The sequence below is a fragment of the Homo sapiens genome, chromosome 11 (genome assembly GCF_000001405.40).
Source record: "Homo sapiens chromosome 11, GRCh38.p14 Primary Assembly".
Taxonomy (NCBI): Eukaryota; Metazoa; Chordata; class Mammalia; order Primates; family Hominidae; genus Homo; species Homo sapiens.
The window spans coordinates 117,520,529-117,535,378 of NC_000011.10; the positions used below are offsets into that span (position 1 = coordinate 117,520,529).

General features: G+C 52.6%; 1 protein-coding gene across 5 annotated transcripts in view, besides 1 other annotated feature; it reads right to left on the bottom strand.

Moving 5' to 3' along the window:
- Positions 1-14,850, bottom strand: part of DSCAML1 (DS cell adhesion molecule like 1) — a 389,743-nt gene that overhangs the window by 92,757 nt on the left and 282,136 nt on the right. For 3 of the 5 annotated variants that reach the window (NM_020693.4, NM_001367904.1, NM_001367905.1), the window contains exons 4-6: positions 11,848-11,994; positions 4,277-4,555; positions 602-877 (exon numbers count right to left, since the gene is read on the bottom strand). In NM_020693.4, the coding sequence (NP_065744.3) occupies positions 602-877; positions 4,277-4,555; positions 11,848-11,994 (702 nt within the window). Of the gene's footprint in view, positions 1-601; positions 878-4,276; positions 4,592-11,847; positions 11,995-14,850 lie in introns of all 5 variants that reach the window. The other 2 variants (XM_011542918.2, XM_011542917.3) reach the window with 1 other exon arrangement.
- Positions 990-1,811: an enhancer, noted in NCBI's record as "H3K4me1 hESC enhancer chr11:117392233-117393054 (GRCh37/hg19 assembly coordinates)". NCBI's record gives its function as "activates a minimal SCP1, AML or CMV promoter by ChIP-STARR-seq in primed H9 embryonic stem cells {active_cell/tissue: H9 hESC(primed)}" and the evidence as "EXISTENCE:reporter gene assay evidence [ECO:0000049][PMID:30033119]".

Consider the following 14,850-nt stretch of genomic DNA (forward strand, 5'->3'; position numbering starts at 1 on the left):
AGCTCAAATCTCTGCTCTGTCCCTTGGGCAGAGCTGTGTGAACTCGGACAAGTGACCAAAGCTGCAGTTTCCTCAACAGCAAAATGGGTAACATCATTAAAAAAAAAAAAGTAAAGGCCTCAGCCCAGGCGGGAGGATCGCTTCACCCCAGTTCAAGACCAGCCTGAGCAACATAGTGAGACTCTGTCTCTGAAAACAAAACAAAACAAACCATAAAAAATTAGCCAGGTGAACAGAATAACCTTGGACATTAGCATGGTGCAAGATGGTCCCTGCCCGTAGTCACAGCTACTTGGGAGGCTGAGGTGGGAGGATTGCTTGAGCCAGGGAGGTTGAGGCTGCAGTGAGCTGTGATCGCACTACTGTTCTCCAGCCTGAGAGACAGAGTGGGACTCTGCCTCAAAAAAGGAAAAAAGATTAAAAAGATTTAAATATAAAAAAGGGCTTCCACACAGGGCCCTTAGGGTGAGATGGTGCACCGGCCTGGTGTGTAGTGAGCGCTGGTTTAATGCCTCCTGGCATTGCTCCCACCTCAGCAGAAGGGAGGGAATGAGCTCGGCAGCCCTGAACCCGCCCCCTGTGTCCTGGCGCCCCAGCTCACCCTCAAGTGCAATGATGGCAAAGTCCTGGGCGGTCTGGGCCTTGCGGGTAGCGAAGCACTGGTAGGCCCCGGAATGGCTCTTCTGGGCCGAGGTGATGAGCAGCGTCTCGTTGCTGAGCCCGCGGATGGAGATGGCCTCGTCAGGCAGCACCAGCTCCGTGTTGCGATACCAGCGGATGGTGAACTCTGGGGAGCCCGTCAGGGCACAGGAGAGGATGACCGTGCTGCCAATGCCGGTCTTCAGCTTCTTTGGTGTCAGGGTCACATGAAGGGGATCTGGGCCGGGCCAGGGAGACGTGAGGGGAAATGGGAGGGAGGAAAGAACAGAAAAAGGGCTTACTGTGAGTGGAGTGTAGCTGGGGGTAGTTAGGGGTCACAAAAGGCCCAGGTTCTGCCTCCAGACCCCTTGTGTGGACTGGGACTGGGGAATTCCTTACTCTAGTCCTCAGTTTACTCATTTGTGAAATGGCAGGCTCAGACTGAGGGATCTCTGGGTATTTGTTGTTCTGATGGCCTGTGCTCCCCTAAAACGTGTCCCTGTGCCTGGTGAGAGTGTGAGGCTCCCTCTGGCTCACTGAGGAGGGCGGAGACTTGACTGGCTCTTTATTCTCCCCGCCACCCACCTCAGAAACCGGGGGGGGCACCCTTGGCCCAGCAGGCTGTCTCCCATACTTGCGGAGATAACACATTGCTATGTGCTGCTGGTCTGATTTCCTCTAGTTGGATCTGTGGACCCCCTGCTTGGCATTGCCCCACTGCAGGCCTGGAGCTCCCAACCTGGATCCACGTGGCAGCACCTCCCTGCCTCCCCCCAGCTGTCCTCCATGCTGCAGCCAGCCACTCGCTGCTCAGAACTTCCATGACTCCAATTCAGCATGGCATTTGAGGCCCTCAAGGCCCTAAGGGCCTGACTGTAGGGGTTCAAAGGGGTTCCGTTGTCACCAAAGCCATAGGTCTTTAGAGCACCAGCAACCTGCCTGCGATTTCTGCATACCCTGGGCTGTTTCTGGCCCCAGGGCCTCACCTAGAGCATTCTGTGCCTAATTCTTGCTCATCCTTCGCATGGTGTCACCTCTTCCAGGAAGCCTTCCTGGACATCACTCTCCCTCCCAGGTTGGGCTAAGGATCCCTCCTCTAGCCCCGCTGTGTATAACTCACACCACACTGAGCACCCTGTCTCTTCATCACCTCTTTTGTGTCTGTCTCCCTTTCCCTCTGGACTGTGGGCCACTTGAGAGCAGGGTGACGTCTCTCAGCCTCATAGGCCTACCATGACCGGAGTCATTACTGATGGTCTAACTGGCTTAGCAAGCCATTTACAGGCTCCAAACTGACCTCTCCTTGATCTCTATGGGCTAGGGGCTCTGTATGGGGGCTCAGGCTCCCTGTATAGCTTGGTACCCCAAGTGAGGAAGCCTGCAGGAGAGAGGAAGATTGCAAGCTCATGTGGGCCGAGTGCAGCCAAAGCATAAATGACCGCATGCTTGCTTCTCCCTACTCGTTTCCCAGAGCCTCTGCCTGCTCTCCAGGAAATGTCAGTGCACATTGAGTCAGGTGGCCTCCTGCTCATCCCAGTCGCCAGCCGGAGCTCCCAGTGCTCTGCTAGCCACCGTCTCCTCACTGCTCCTGTGTGGGCTTGGCACAGGTTAGGTGGGGGGCTTCGTGGAGGAGTAGGGGGTATGGAAAGCATTGCTTTCCTCTCCATGAACCTGGCAGGGAGAGGCTGTAGAGAGGCTGGCAGATGGAGAAAAGTCACATTGATTCCCCTTGAACCTTGGTGGTCCAAACAAGCCTGCTGTGGGGAGGGGTAGGGGGCTGGGGATCAGAGAAGATGCATTCAGGGTCAGTGTGGGAGTGTACACATCTGGAAGTGGTGACTTGCTGTACATCTGTGAGAGTGTACTTGGATATGGGCATGTTCCTGTGAAGGGATTATGTAGCTGTGCATGGGTACAGGCACCATATACGTGTGCATGCGTACTTGGGGAGGCGGGCAGGTGCATTTTCAACATGTGTGCCTGTGTCTGTGTGTCTCCGCTTGCCTGCATACACTGGTGCAGGAGCTGTGAACACTGCATTTACCTACAGGAAGGTTTGCTAATTTTCCAAGGATTTGAGGGTGTGTTGCCCTTCTGACCTATTTGGAGAGAAAGAGAGAGAAAGAGAGAGAGTGTAGAGCAGGAGGGTGGGAAGGAGGTGAAGGTAATACTGGAATAAACTTTTTCAGACAGTGCTTAGGGCAGGAAGGGAGGTGCCAATCCTGATCCTCTGTCTGCTCTGCTGTCCAGGGCTTGTTTGTACGAGAGGAACCCCCAGGCCCCTGAAGTAGGGCTTTCAGCGTTTTAACCTAAGCATTTGCACCGTGCACTGCCATCCCAGAGCATTTCTTGGGGCTCTTTCTGTTCTTCCACCTTGACAGTGAATTTGTGTTGGGGCGCTCTTCCAGGCACTGTAGATAAACACACTCCAACTCTCAAGACTCTCTTGACTGTGAGGAAGGAGACTCAGCCCTTATCTGGGCTGTGGGAGTCAGACACTAGGCCCAGAAGTGGGCTCTGCTGTGGTTCTCTGGTCAGCCTGAGGGTCTGCAGCCCTACTGCCCTATGCTCACAATGAATGGGAGGTGGGAAGAGAGTTTCTTTGGTCAACCAGGATGAGAGGTGGGATCACCTCTGGACGTTCTCTTTCCACTGCCCACGTTGAATAACCCTCAGGATGCTGTTAGTAATGACAGCCTCATTCCTGTCTCATGAGGCATGGCATTTCCTCAAGGGTGTCCAGATCCCAGCCCCACTGCAGCCTAGAGAGCAGGGAACTCAGAGAGTCAGACTCTTGATGCCGGAGCTAGAAGGAACTTCTTCATTTCACAGATGGGAACCTTGAGGCTGGGTCACACAGGAGTGGAGAGAGGTGGGGTAGGGGGAAAGGGGTGAGCTGGGCCTCACAAATCCGCATCCAGAGTGCTTTCCAGGGCATTCGCCCATCTGCTTCTACCCTCTCTGCCTGCCTTGGGGGCTCCTCAGCAGCAGGGGTATGCTAAGGCCACCTGCTCTCCACACCAGCTCCTTGGACCCCTAGAAGGGGCAGGAGGAGGAATAGGAAGGAACCAGGGTTGACATCCAGCTGGAAGGTCCTGGCAGAGATGATTTGCTTGTTTATGGCCAGTTTCTGATCTGATTAATCAGTGCCCCTATCAATGATTGTGAAACATCCTGAATGTCACCCTAGGATTGGGATGTATGTCCTCTCTAGTGGATTGACAGCTGCCTTGCTTCCCTTAGTTCGGACACTACCTCCCTACAAGCCCGGAAGCCCTGCCCTCATGGCGAGCACATCACCATCACCCTCCTCATCCCACTGGAGCCTCATGACCTCTGGGAGGTAGGAAGGCTGGGACCACTTTCCCATTTTACAGAGAACGGCACTGAGCTGATGGTCATGGTTATGTGATTTGCCCAAAGTCAGTTACTATCTGCTAATGCCAGAAACAAAAGGCAGGCCTCCTGATTTCAAGCCAAGGGCTTTTCCAGGATACCAGACTGCCTTCCCCAGTCAGCCAGGGTTATTCCCAGGGCCTGGTCAGAGACAGGTCCAGCTGTCGGCCACACTCCTCCCCCGACCCCTGAGGCGCCCTCAGAGGTTACTGGGGCTGCAGAAGGGGCTTCCCCGACTCACCAATGACCATGAGGATGCCTGTGGCCTCTGCCGAACCGAAGGTGTTGGTGACCTCACAAATGTAGGTGCCGCTGTCCTCGGTCCGCAAGTCGCTGATGGTCAGCCCTGTGATGCGCTTGGTCCAGCGGCTGTCAGCCGGGAGGGGCCGGCCATCCTTGAGCCAGCGGATGGCGGGGATAGGGTAGCCCGAGGCGGTGCAGGGCAGCTCCACGGTGTGGCCGGCCCACACTTCCTGGGAGTGGAAGCCATCCAGGATGGTGGGGATCGACTCAGCAGGGTCTGGAAGGCAGAGAGGGTCGGCAGCCCTGGCCAGCCCTGGGTGGGATGAAGTGGCGCTGGGGGAGGGAAGGCAAGCACCCAGACAGGAGCCTGCTGCCCACTGGCGCCCACAGCGAGCAGTTTCCAGGGCGGCTCCAGAGGAACATTTCAGGGAGGGTGCACTGTGTCTTCTGTGCTCAGGCCAGACCAAGCCCCAGACAACTTTGACTGGGATTCCCAGCAGGGGCTGGGAGGAGGAGAGGATATGATGGAGTTCGGGACTAGAGTGACAGACAGAGAGACAGATGGAAGAAGGGAAGAAGGCGGAAGAGAGCAAGACGTGCAGGGAGGGAGAGGGTGTGCATGAGAACTCCTTTCCCACGGAGAGTCCCTGGCTTCTTTTTTTTTTTTTGAAATGGAGTCTCAATCACTCTGTCACCCAGCCTGGAGGGCAGTGGGTGATCTTGGCTCACTGCAACCTCCACCTCCCAGGTTCAAGCAATTCTCCTGTCTCAGCCTCCCAAGTAGCTGGGCCTACAGGCACGCACCACCACACCCAGCTATTTTTTGTACTTTTAGTAGAGACAGGATTTCACCATGTTGGCCAGGCTGGTCTCGAACTCCTGACCTCGGGTGATCCGCCTGCCTTGGCCTCTGAAAATGCTGAGATTACAGGCCTGAGCCACCATACCTAGCTCTGTCCCTGGATTCTGGCCCAGGCTGTAGAGCAGTGATGTGTCATGACGTCTCAAGTTTGCAATTCATGGTAAGTATCTCTCTAGGCCTACTGGGAGATGGGAGGACGATCTATCTGTTCCTGCTCTGTCTTCTGCCTAAACTCTGGACAGATTCAGAAATGACCAGTGCATTTCCATCAGAGCCTAGAAGGATTCAGAAGCCCCACCACAGTCACCTGTGACAATCCTCTATTTCGCATTCCAAAACCAAGAGAAACCAGCAACTACGAGACCTGTGGCCTGAAGCTGCAGAAAACCATAGCGCCTGCGGGCAGGATTCTGTGTGCAATGCCCAGGAATTTCTGAGTGGTGTCCTGTCGGCCCTCTCAGGCTCGTTCCCACCCTCCAAGGCCTCTCTGGGTTTCCTGCCCCTGGGGGACCTCCTCCTGTTTTAAACCTCCCCAGGATGCCCCTCACCTACACAACACACCTCCGCTGCTTATCCTCAATGCCAAGGCCTTCTATGATCTGGGCCAGTGAGTCGGCCTGGCCTGCCTACACTGTCCCCTGTCTCCATGGAAGCCTGCGGTGGTGTGCTGGGTCACCTGGGTCACCTGGATGCCCAGCCAGCCTGCTCTGCCTGGCCAGCTCCTACTCATCTTTCACAAACCAGCTTAAATGTCACCTCTTCTGGATGCCTTCTCCAGGCCACTCTCAATGACTCCCACAGATTTTTCTTTTTCTTTCATTTTATTTTCAAAGAACTCCCTGCTATTTATTTTTATTTTTATTTTTTTGAGACAGAGTCTCACTCTGTCACCCAGGCTGGAGTGCAGTGGTGTGATCTTGGCTCACTGCAACCTCCGCCTCCCGGGTTCAAGCAATTCTCTGTCTCAGCCTCCCAAGAAGCTGGGATTACAGGTGCCCGCCACCATGCCCAGCTAATTTTTGTATTTTTAGTGGAGACGGAGTTTCACCATCTTGGCCAGGCTGGTCTTGAACTCCTGACCTTGTGATCCACCCGCCTCGGCTTCCCAAAGTGCTGAGATTACAGGCATGAGCCACCGTGCCCAGCTCAGAACTTCCCCTTCTTTTAAAATAAATGTTTTAATAATAGGTCAGGCATAGTAGCTCATGCCTGTAATCTCAGCACTTTGGGAGGCTGAGGTGGGAAGATCACTTGAGCCCAGGAGTTGGAGACCAGCCCGGGCAACACAGTGAGATCCCATGTCTACCAAGCAAACAAACAAAACCATACACACACACATGACTATAGTGCCAGGTGTGGTGGCACAAGCCTGTGGTCCTGGCTACTCAGGAGGCTGAGGTGGGAGGATCAATTGAGCCAGAGATGTGAGGCTGCAGTGAGCTATGATTGTGCTACTGTACTCCATCCTGGGCAACAGAGCAAGATCTTGTCTCAAAAATAATGATGATACTAATACTAATACAAGCTTTAAAAGTGTTTTAACAGATAAAATAGATAACATATGGACTTGGCAAAACTTCAGAAAGTATAGAAGAGCATGTCATAAAGGGAGTCTCCCCATCTCCCCACCCTCCTGCCCTCTGCCACCCCACGTGACTCTCCAGAGGCAGCCCCCATCAGCACTGCCCCTTCCAAGGGCAGTCAGCACCTGGAAGACCGAGCTCCTCAAGGCAGCGTTAAACCGCTGCTGTATCTCCCCAGGCTGCTGAACCATAAATGTCTAGGGAGGATGAATGGGGCACTCAGGCATGGGCAGGCGAGTAGTCTGATTTTTCTGGATAGAAATCCACATTGCAGAACTGTATAGACTTGTGGAATTATAGAGCTGGCTTAGGGAGCTTGAGGCACAAAGAGATGAGGATGCTGAGACCAGCGACGTACAGGGACCTGCCTGGGATCACAACATGGAGCTAAGATCAGAAGCCAGGTCTCCCCCACCCTTGTTCAGTAAATGGCGTCTGAGATGGAGTAATCTAAAATCCTAAATTTTGCTTAGGAGTGGATAGTGGTCCCTTCACTAATGGAAGCTTTCCTCTGCCCTCAGCAATTGCCCTGGAGAGGGGTTGGGGTGAGAATTCTCCTCTCTAGGGGAAAGAATCTCTGTTCTCTTCCCACCTTCCAGTGCTCGTCAGGGGCTGCCTGTGGGCCACAGAAGGAGCCCGGGTTGGGAATCAGGCTCTCCAGGGGCAAGTTCTGCCTGGGTCACTGAGAAGCCCTGTGACCTTGGGCAAGTTTTGTGATCTCCTAGAGCCCGAGTTTCCCCACCTGCCCTGGTGGAGGTGATAACATTGCCTCCAGACTTCACAAGGCCGTTGCAGGCAACCAGTAGTATAGGTGTGTGGAAGCGCTTTAGACGCTCAATCCAGCTGCAGATGCGTGGGACAATTACTATCTAGAGCTCATGTGCCCTGCCTGCCAGATTCTGTGGCCTCTTCTCCCACCCCCAACCCGGTGGGAATGGCTGGGATAAACAAACCCAGTGCCAAGGAAGAATTACTCAATGTGACACTTAATTGATGCAAAATACACAAATTCCGTGGCACACTGCAGAATTTACAAGCGGAGGGGCCATCAGGGTGGTGGAGGAAGGGGCGGAGGGAGGGAATTAATCACCGAGGCTCAGGCGTGAAATTAAATTCTGAGGGAAAGAAACCTCTTCCATTACTCCAGAGCAGAAGTAAAATGCTGCGGCGTGTACATGGCGACAGCCCGGGGGGACTGGGTGCTCCTAGCACTGAAGCAGGGCTGGGGGAGACAGATGGTCAGGCTTGAGAAACTGCTGGGGGTGCACTGGAGCTAGGCTAGGCTGGCTGGGGATCTGAGATGCCCTGGGGAGGCTGCTGGGAACCCTGCCCCCATAGCCAGCTGAACAGCATTGCTGTGGTTAGGTGGTTAGGGCACCACCAGGAGCATGGCTTCTGCACCTGGCTCTGTCCTTTGTGAGCTGGGGATCCGATTCCAGTCCCTCAGCCTCTCTGACCACTAGTCTCCTCCTTTATAACTGCAGGTGACAATGCCCATCCCACTGAGTTATGGTGGGGACAGAGTGAGTTAATACACCTGAAAGCACTTGGTAAGCTCTAAAAAAGCACCTAGATGTCTGGAATGATTATGATTAGGTTGTATTTTGTGGAGGCACAGACTATTCTTGCAACTGCCTCTGCAACTTGGAAAATACAGAAAAATGAAAGTTGCCGCCCCCCGCCCCCCCCCTTGGGAATGTAGTAGGAATAACAATGTAGCAACAGCAGAACAACCACCACTGACAATAATAGTAGCAGCTACTGTCTGTCCAGAGCTTCCTGTGTCAGGCACTAGCTAAGCTTTTTATAGGCGGTATTTATTTATTTATTTATTTTGGAGACAGAGTCTCACTCTGTCACCCAGGCTGGAGTGCAGTGGCATGATCTCGCGTTCTCGGTTCACTGCAACCTCTGCCTCCCTGGTTCAAGCGATTCTTTGCCTCCGCCTCCCGAGTAGCTGGGATTACAGGTATGTGCCACCACACTCGGCTAACGTTTGTATTTTTAGTAAAGATGGGGTTTTGCCATGTTGGCCAGGCTGGTCTTGAACTCCTGTCCTCAAGTGAGCCACCTGCTTTGGCCTCCCAAAGTGCTAGGATTACAGGCCTGAATCACCACGCCTGGCCTTTCTTAATAGGAGATATTCTGTTTCATTCTCATGGCAACCCAGCAGGAGTACATTTTGTTACTCCCATTTTCCGGATGAGGCAGCTGAGGTTTGGAACATTATTTTATGCCAGGCTGCACAACTAGTGAGTGTTGAGGCGGAGATGGAAAGTTTGGCCTAATTCATAACTGCCATCTTAATAATACACCTCGTTATCTCTCCCCACCCCCAGCAACTTTAGCCCTGAGTGCTGAAGAGACCACAAATGTGCTTCCTGTTCTCATGAACTGACCACCTCCAATGCACTGCCATTTGTGCCATTCTCATCCGCAACAAGCCCCAGGAGCTCTCGGGGGTCCTGGCCTCTAGAGACTGAAACATCTCAGCGGACACTCGTGCCTGCCTCTCTGTGGGGACTGATCTCCACCCTCAGCTCTGGGGAGTGGAACCCAAGTGCAATGGGGAGGGGCGGGTGAGCCTGAGACGGGCTCTGGGCTCCACACAGTGCCAACCCCCTCGGCACTGCTTGCTCCAGTATCAGTTGCATTTTTGCCGAGACAAGCAGCTTGCAGATCGCCTTGTCACATCCCATCACATCAGGGCCCCGCGTCGCTGCATGTGCCCCCTCCCTGGAGCCCCGTCGCTCGCTTCCTTTGTCTCTGTGCATGTCCCTCCGTTCTGCCTTTCCTGTGCCCCATGCCAATCTCTCTTTGTGCCGGGGCCTCTCTCTTGTCTGTCGGTACCGTCCCATCTTCATGCCCGCTTTTCTATTTGGGCTTTATCTGTGAGTCTCCTCCCCCTCGCCCCTTCTCCCGGAAGCTGGTGGTGAAAGAGGAGGGGAAGAAGGGCTGGCATGGCCTCCAGTTCAAAGAATGTCTCTTTTTGAGGGACTCTTGCCTAGTGCCCCCAAAAGCTAGAGGTCCACCCAGGAGACTAGAGGATGAAGGGGCCAAATATTCACGGAGGAGAAGGGAGCAGGCCTGCAGGAAGGGGATTTCTGTGTCTTTCCCACATTGCAGGATAAGCATGCAAATGAGATGCAAAACACCATACACACAAGTCCCCGTCATTTTGAGGCGAGCCCTTTGGAAATTGGGCTGCAGATTCCAAAGTCAAGCCACAAAGATGGGGCTGCACGGAGCAGCCCCGTCCCCTACTCTTATGACAGCACGGTTTCCCTCGGCATTGATTAATGCCATAAATATTTACTCGGCACCTCGTGTGTGTTAGGCACAGGGCCAGGCGCTGAAGACACAGGGGTGAATCGGGAGCCGGGTTGTTGCCCTCCCAGCTCCTGATCTCCTGGCCTTGCCCCACATGTGACAGACAAGTGGAAGTGGTCCTGGAGAGAGTCTCTGTGGGTCAGGGCAGAGCTCATCACCAAACCACCAAACTCAGGGCAGAGCTCTGAGCGGCAGAGGCACACAGAATCAGAGCAGCCACCTAGACTGGTTCCTTTTCCAGAGGCCTAGAGAGGCTGCGAGATTTCATGAGTCTAATCCCAAAAGCCGGGTGTTCTGACTTAGCGTTCATCCCCGTTCCAAAAACTCCAATCTCAAGACAGAGATTTTCAACTCGCAACCCGCAAACTTTTAGGAGGTTGTGAAATCCATTTGGTGAGTTGTGGCCAGCATTTAGAGAAATCAGAATTAGATAGAATAGAATAGAAAATTCCAGAGCGCCTTGCAACGAGCATGGTAGAAAATGCCAGTGTGCATCGCGCAGGCTGTGATAAGAACGTCTGTCTGGGCATTGTGGTCAAAGAGTTTGGAAACCACTGTTCAGAAAGCCTACCTCGAGGAGCGCCTCTCTGTGACCTCAGCATGGGTATGGGCATTCAACTGACCCCTTCTATGGGGTCCTGTAGCTGGAAGGACACCGAGGCCAGGGGTTCAGAGTTTGAATTCTGGCTGTGCCTCCCACTGGTTAAATAGCTCTGGCAAGTCGCTTGGCTTCCCTAAGATTTGGTTTTCTCGCCTGTAAAAATAGGGGAAACAGCACACACCTCACAGGGCTATGACGGTCCCTGACAGAAACAAATGAGGGAATCCCAGATACACAGGAGGATTCAATAAACACCAGTTTCTATCCCTCCCGAGAAGCTATAATCACCCCAAAAGAAGAATCCTCTATTCTGTTTAGAAATATTTTGTTTATAAATTATGTTCTGCCTGCTTTCAAATGTTGCGAGGTGGCCTATGACAAAAGATACATATGTACTCATTGATCAGATAGAATCCTCAGGCCGGGCGCAGTGGCACATACCTGCAATCCCAGCACTTTGGGAGGCTGAGGCGGGCAGCTCACCTGAGGTCAGGAGTTCAAGACCGGCCTAGCCAACATGGTGAAACCCTGTCTCTACTAAAAAAACACAAAAATTAGCCGGGCGTGGTGGCGCATGCCTATAATCCCAGCTGCTCAGGAGGTTGAGGCAGGAGAATTGCTTGAACCCAGGGGGCGGAAGTTACAGTTAGCCAAGATCATGCCATTGCACTCCAGCCTGGGCAACAAGAGAGAAACTCCGTCTCAGGAAAAAGAAAGAAAGGGAAGGGAAGGAAAGGGAAGGGAAGGGAGGAGGGAGGAGGGAGGGAGGGAGGGAGGGAGGGAGGGACGAAATAAAGAAAGAAAGGAAAAGAAAAGAAAGAAAGGATAGAATACTCACAAGCACCTAGAGGCATGGAAATGCAATCCCCCCACCCCCAGCAAAAGCAACACTAATAGTTACTATGTTTGAGTATCAGATTTTATCTATCAGCTTCCTGACAGGAAAGACAAAAAAAAAAGGAAAAAAAAGGGAAAAAGAGGGTGAGTCTCGTAGCCTCATTATTTGAAAATGAAAACATAGCAAAGAGGTCTTCCTTGGTGGTTTCAGTACCTGATTTCTTTAATCTCTTTCTCTGATTTCCCTGAGTACACAGGGGGCTCCTCCATCTGCGGTGGGGCGTGCCAAGTTCCAGGGATGGCCTGGTGTCCTCCCTTCCCAGCCTGCCCCGTTCTCCCCAGGCCCTCTCCCCTACCTGTCACAGAGAGGCGTGCCCCATTGCTCTGCCGGGTCTCCCCGCTATACTTGTGCTTGGTGATGCAGCGATAGGTGGAGAGGGCGTCCTCCTTCTGTACGTCAGAGATGTACAGCCCGCCGTGGTAGGTAATAAAAAACCTGTGTTCTGGAGACACAATCAGGACATAGTTCGTTACTTCCCGGTTTCGTACAGCCTCAGAGGCAGGGTAGCGTCTCTGACAGATGAGGATTTTCACACACAAACAAAATGACAAATAGAAATGGTAGTAATTGTTCCTTTCAGTGTAGATGCTCCAGGGTTTAACAGAAAGAAGCTGGGCTTTAGAGTTAGACTGAGATCTGGGTCCCGATCTGGCTTTTCTACTTATGGGCTGTGTGACCTTGGGAAAGTTACTTAACCTCTCTGAGCCTTATCTGTACAATAGGATACAAATAATTGGGTGGGTGTACAGATTTAAAAAATGGGGCCAGGTGTGGTGGCTCGCACCTGTAATCCCAATGCTTTGGGAGGCTGAGGCAGGAGGATCACTTGAGACCAGGAATTGGAGTTGGAGACTAGCCTGGGCAATATAGGGGGAGACCCTGTCTATTAAAAAAAAAAAAAATTAAACAATTAGCTGGGTTTGGTAGGGCACGCCGGTAGTCCCAGATACTTGGGAGGCTGAGGCAGGAGGATTGCCTGAGCCCAGGAGGTCAAGGCTGCAGTGAGCCATGATCACACCACTGTACTCCAGCCTGGGTGACAGTGTGAGACTCTTGTCTCTAAAAAAGTAAAAATAAAAATAATAAGGTGTCTGGTGCAGAATAAGCCCTCACTAAGTGAATATTAGTTCTCATCTTTCCTACCTCTTTGCAAGAGTTTGCAAAACTCTTTCATATTCCTTGCTCATTGGCTTTTACAACTGTTCGAGATGCTAACTCTATTTTACAAAGAAGGAAACTGAGGCTTGTAGTAAAGTAACTGGCCCAGGTCGCACAGCCAGGAAGTGGACTGGAACTTCTGACTCCCAGTTGTCCTTCTGCATGGAATTATACATAAGCCTCCATCCCCTTCTCTCAATTTAAATCCTTTATTCACTCAACAAATGATTATTGAGGCAAAGCTATACCAGGATGGGGACAAGGAGGGGCAGATACACAAAAATCATTCAAACAGTTCTCAAACACCCGTTGTGTGCAAGGCAGTGAAGAGGACAGGCACGGTGCTCTATGTCTCCTGCCACTGCCACAGCCATCTCTGCCCCGACTGTTGGGACCTAGCAGGAGAGCAGGAAGCACAGGTGGCAGCGTGCCCACTTTGCAGATTGCCACACAAGACCCCCCACTCCATCCCAGAGGGGAAGTGGATTTCCTTGTCTAAGGTCCTAAGGCTCACCCTGACCTTGAGCTGATAAAGGCTGATTTAAAGGAGAAAACTGGACTTGAGGGTTGGGGGGCGGGGTTTGCACTAGACTCCCTAAGCTCATGGATGTGTCCTCCCACTGAGGCCAGACTGAGATGGAGAGGAGAACACTGGGGTCCTCTGCCTCCTCTTTGGGGATTTCCCAGGCAGACCCGGAGGGCCCAGGCTGCCATTTCCATGGGAGGGGGCCTTGGAATCAGGATACTGATAGTGACTTCAAAGCTGCAGGGGAGAGGGTCATGCTGAACCCACAGGAAGAACCCGATAGCACCACATGTCAGGCTGGCAGAGGGAAACATTTTGGGCAGTTCCATGCCCTTCTAGCCCTATTATTTAGAGGTCTGCTACCTGAGGCCTAAGTGACATCCCCTCAGCCAAGATGAGAGCTCTGCTCTTGTGAGGAATATTCTGTGGTATCCCACCCATCTCCCTCCACCATCCCAAGCACAAGTCCAAGATTCTCAGCACCTGGAGGTGGGGACCTCACCGTAGGGCACCTTCTGCCACTGGAGGCCGTAGAACTGCAGGGCTGAAAAGCTGAGTGCACGACGATATCTTTGACAAAGGTTCATCAGCCTTCGTTTGAATATCTCTGGGGCTGGGGAACTCCCTCCCTCACTCAGCAGCCCATTCCAAAGTTGACTTTTAGATCAGTCTTCCTTGGTGACCACTGATCTTCTTGGCGCTCCCTCTGTGTGTCCTGCTTTGACTCACTGGTGCCCCGCTGAACCAGCCGAAACCCGTGTTCCTGACATACTCCCTCATACACTGGAAGGCAGCTGTGATGCCCTTTGAATTTTCTTCAGGGTTAACAGCCTTAGGATTTTATTTTCATTTTATATATTTTTTGAGACAGACTGTCACTCTGCCACCCAGACTGAGTGCAGTGGTGTGATCACAGCTCATTGCAGCCTTGACATCCTGGGCTCAAGCGATCCTCGCACCCCAGCCTCCCCAGTAGCTGGGACCACAGTCATGCACCACCACAACTGGCTAGCTAAAAAAAAATTTTTGTAGAGATGAGGTCTCGCTATGTTGCCCAGGCTGGTCTCAAACTCCTGGATGCAAAGGATCCTTCTGCCTTGGCCCTCCAAAGAGCTGGGATGCCAGGGATTTTATTTTTTAATAGTTATTTATTTAATATAGTTTCAAATAACTTCATCAGTCTGGTCTCTTGCTTCTGAATGAACTTTGGTTTATCTACAATTCCAATTGCCCCTCCCTCCCTCCTTTCTTTCCTCCCTCCCGCACATCTCTGTATAGGACTGGACCTACCATGTGCCAGACACTGTGCCCCACTTTGAGAGCCTCTAAGATTAGACTTAGCCCATCAGAGCAGAGTAGAGCAAGACTACCAACACCCAGCCTCAGCCTGCATCACCTTGTCATGGGGATGGTGTGGGAGGAGGGAGGCACCCCCGTTATACTACTCTCCTTGCAGTCAACTAAAGACCCTGGCCCTGTCTCTGTGAGCTGCTGCCATGCCACTTTCCCTCTCTCTGTCCTTGGACAGTGGTTATGTGGGCCAGAGTCTGGAACTTCCCATTGATCCCGGTTGAGCTACATCTTGTTGGGGATCCTCCCAGATGGGCACTCGGC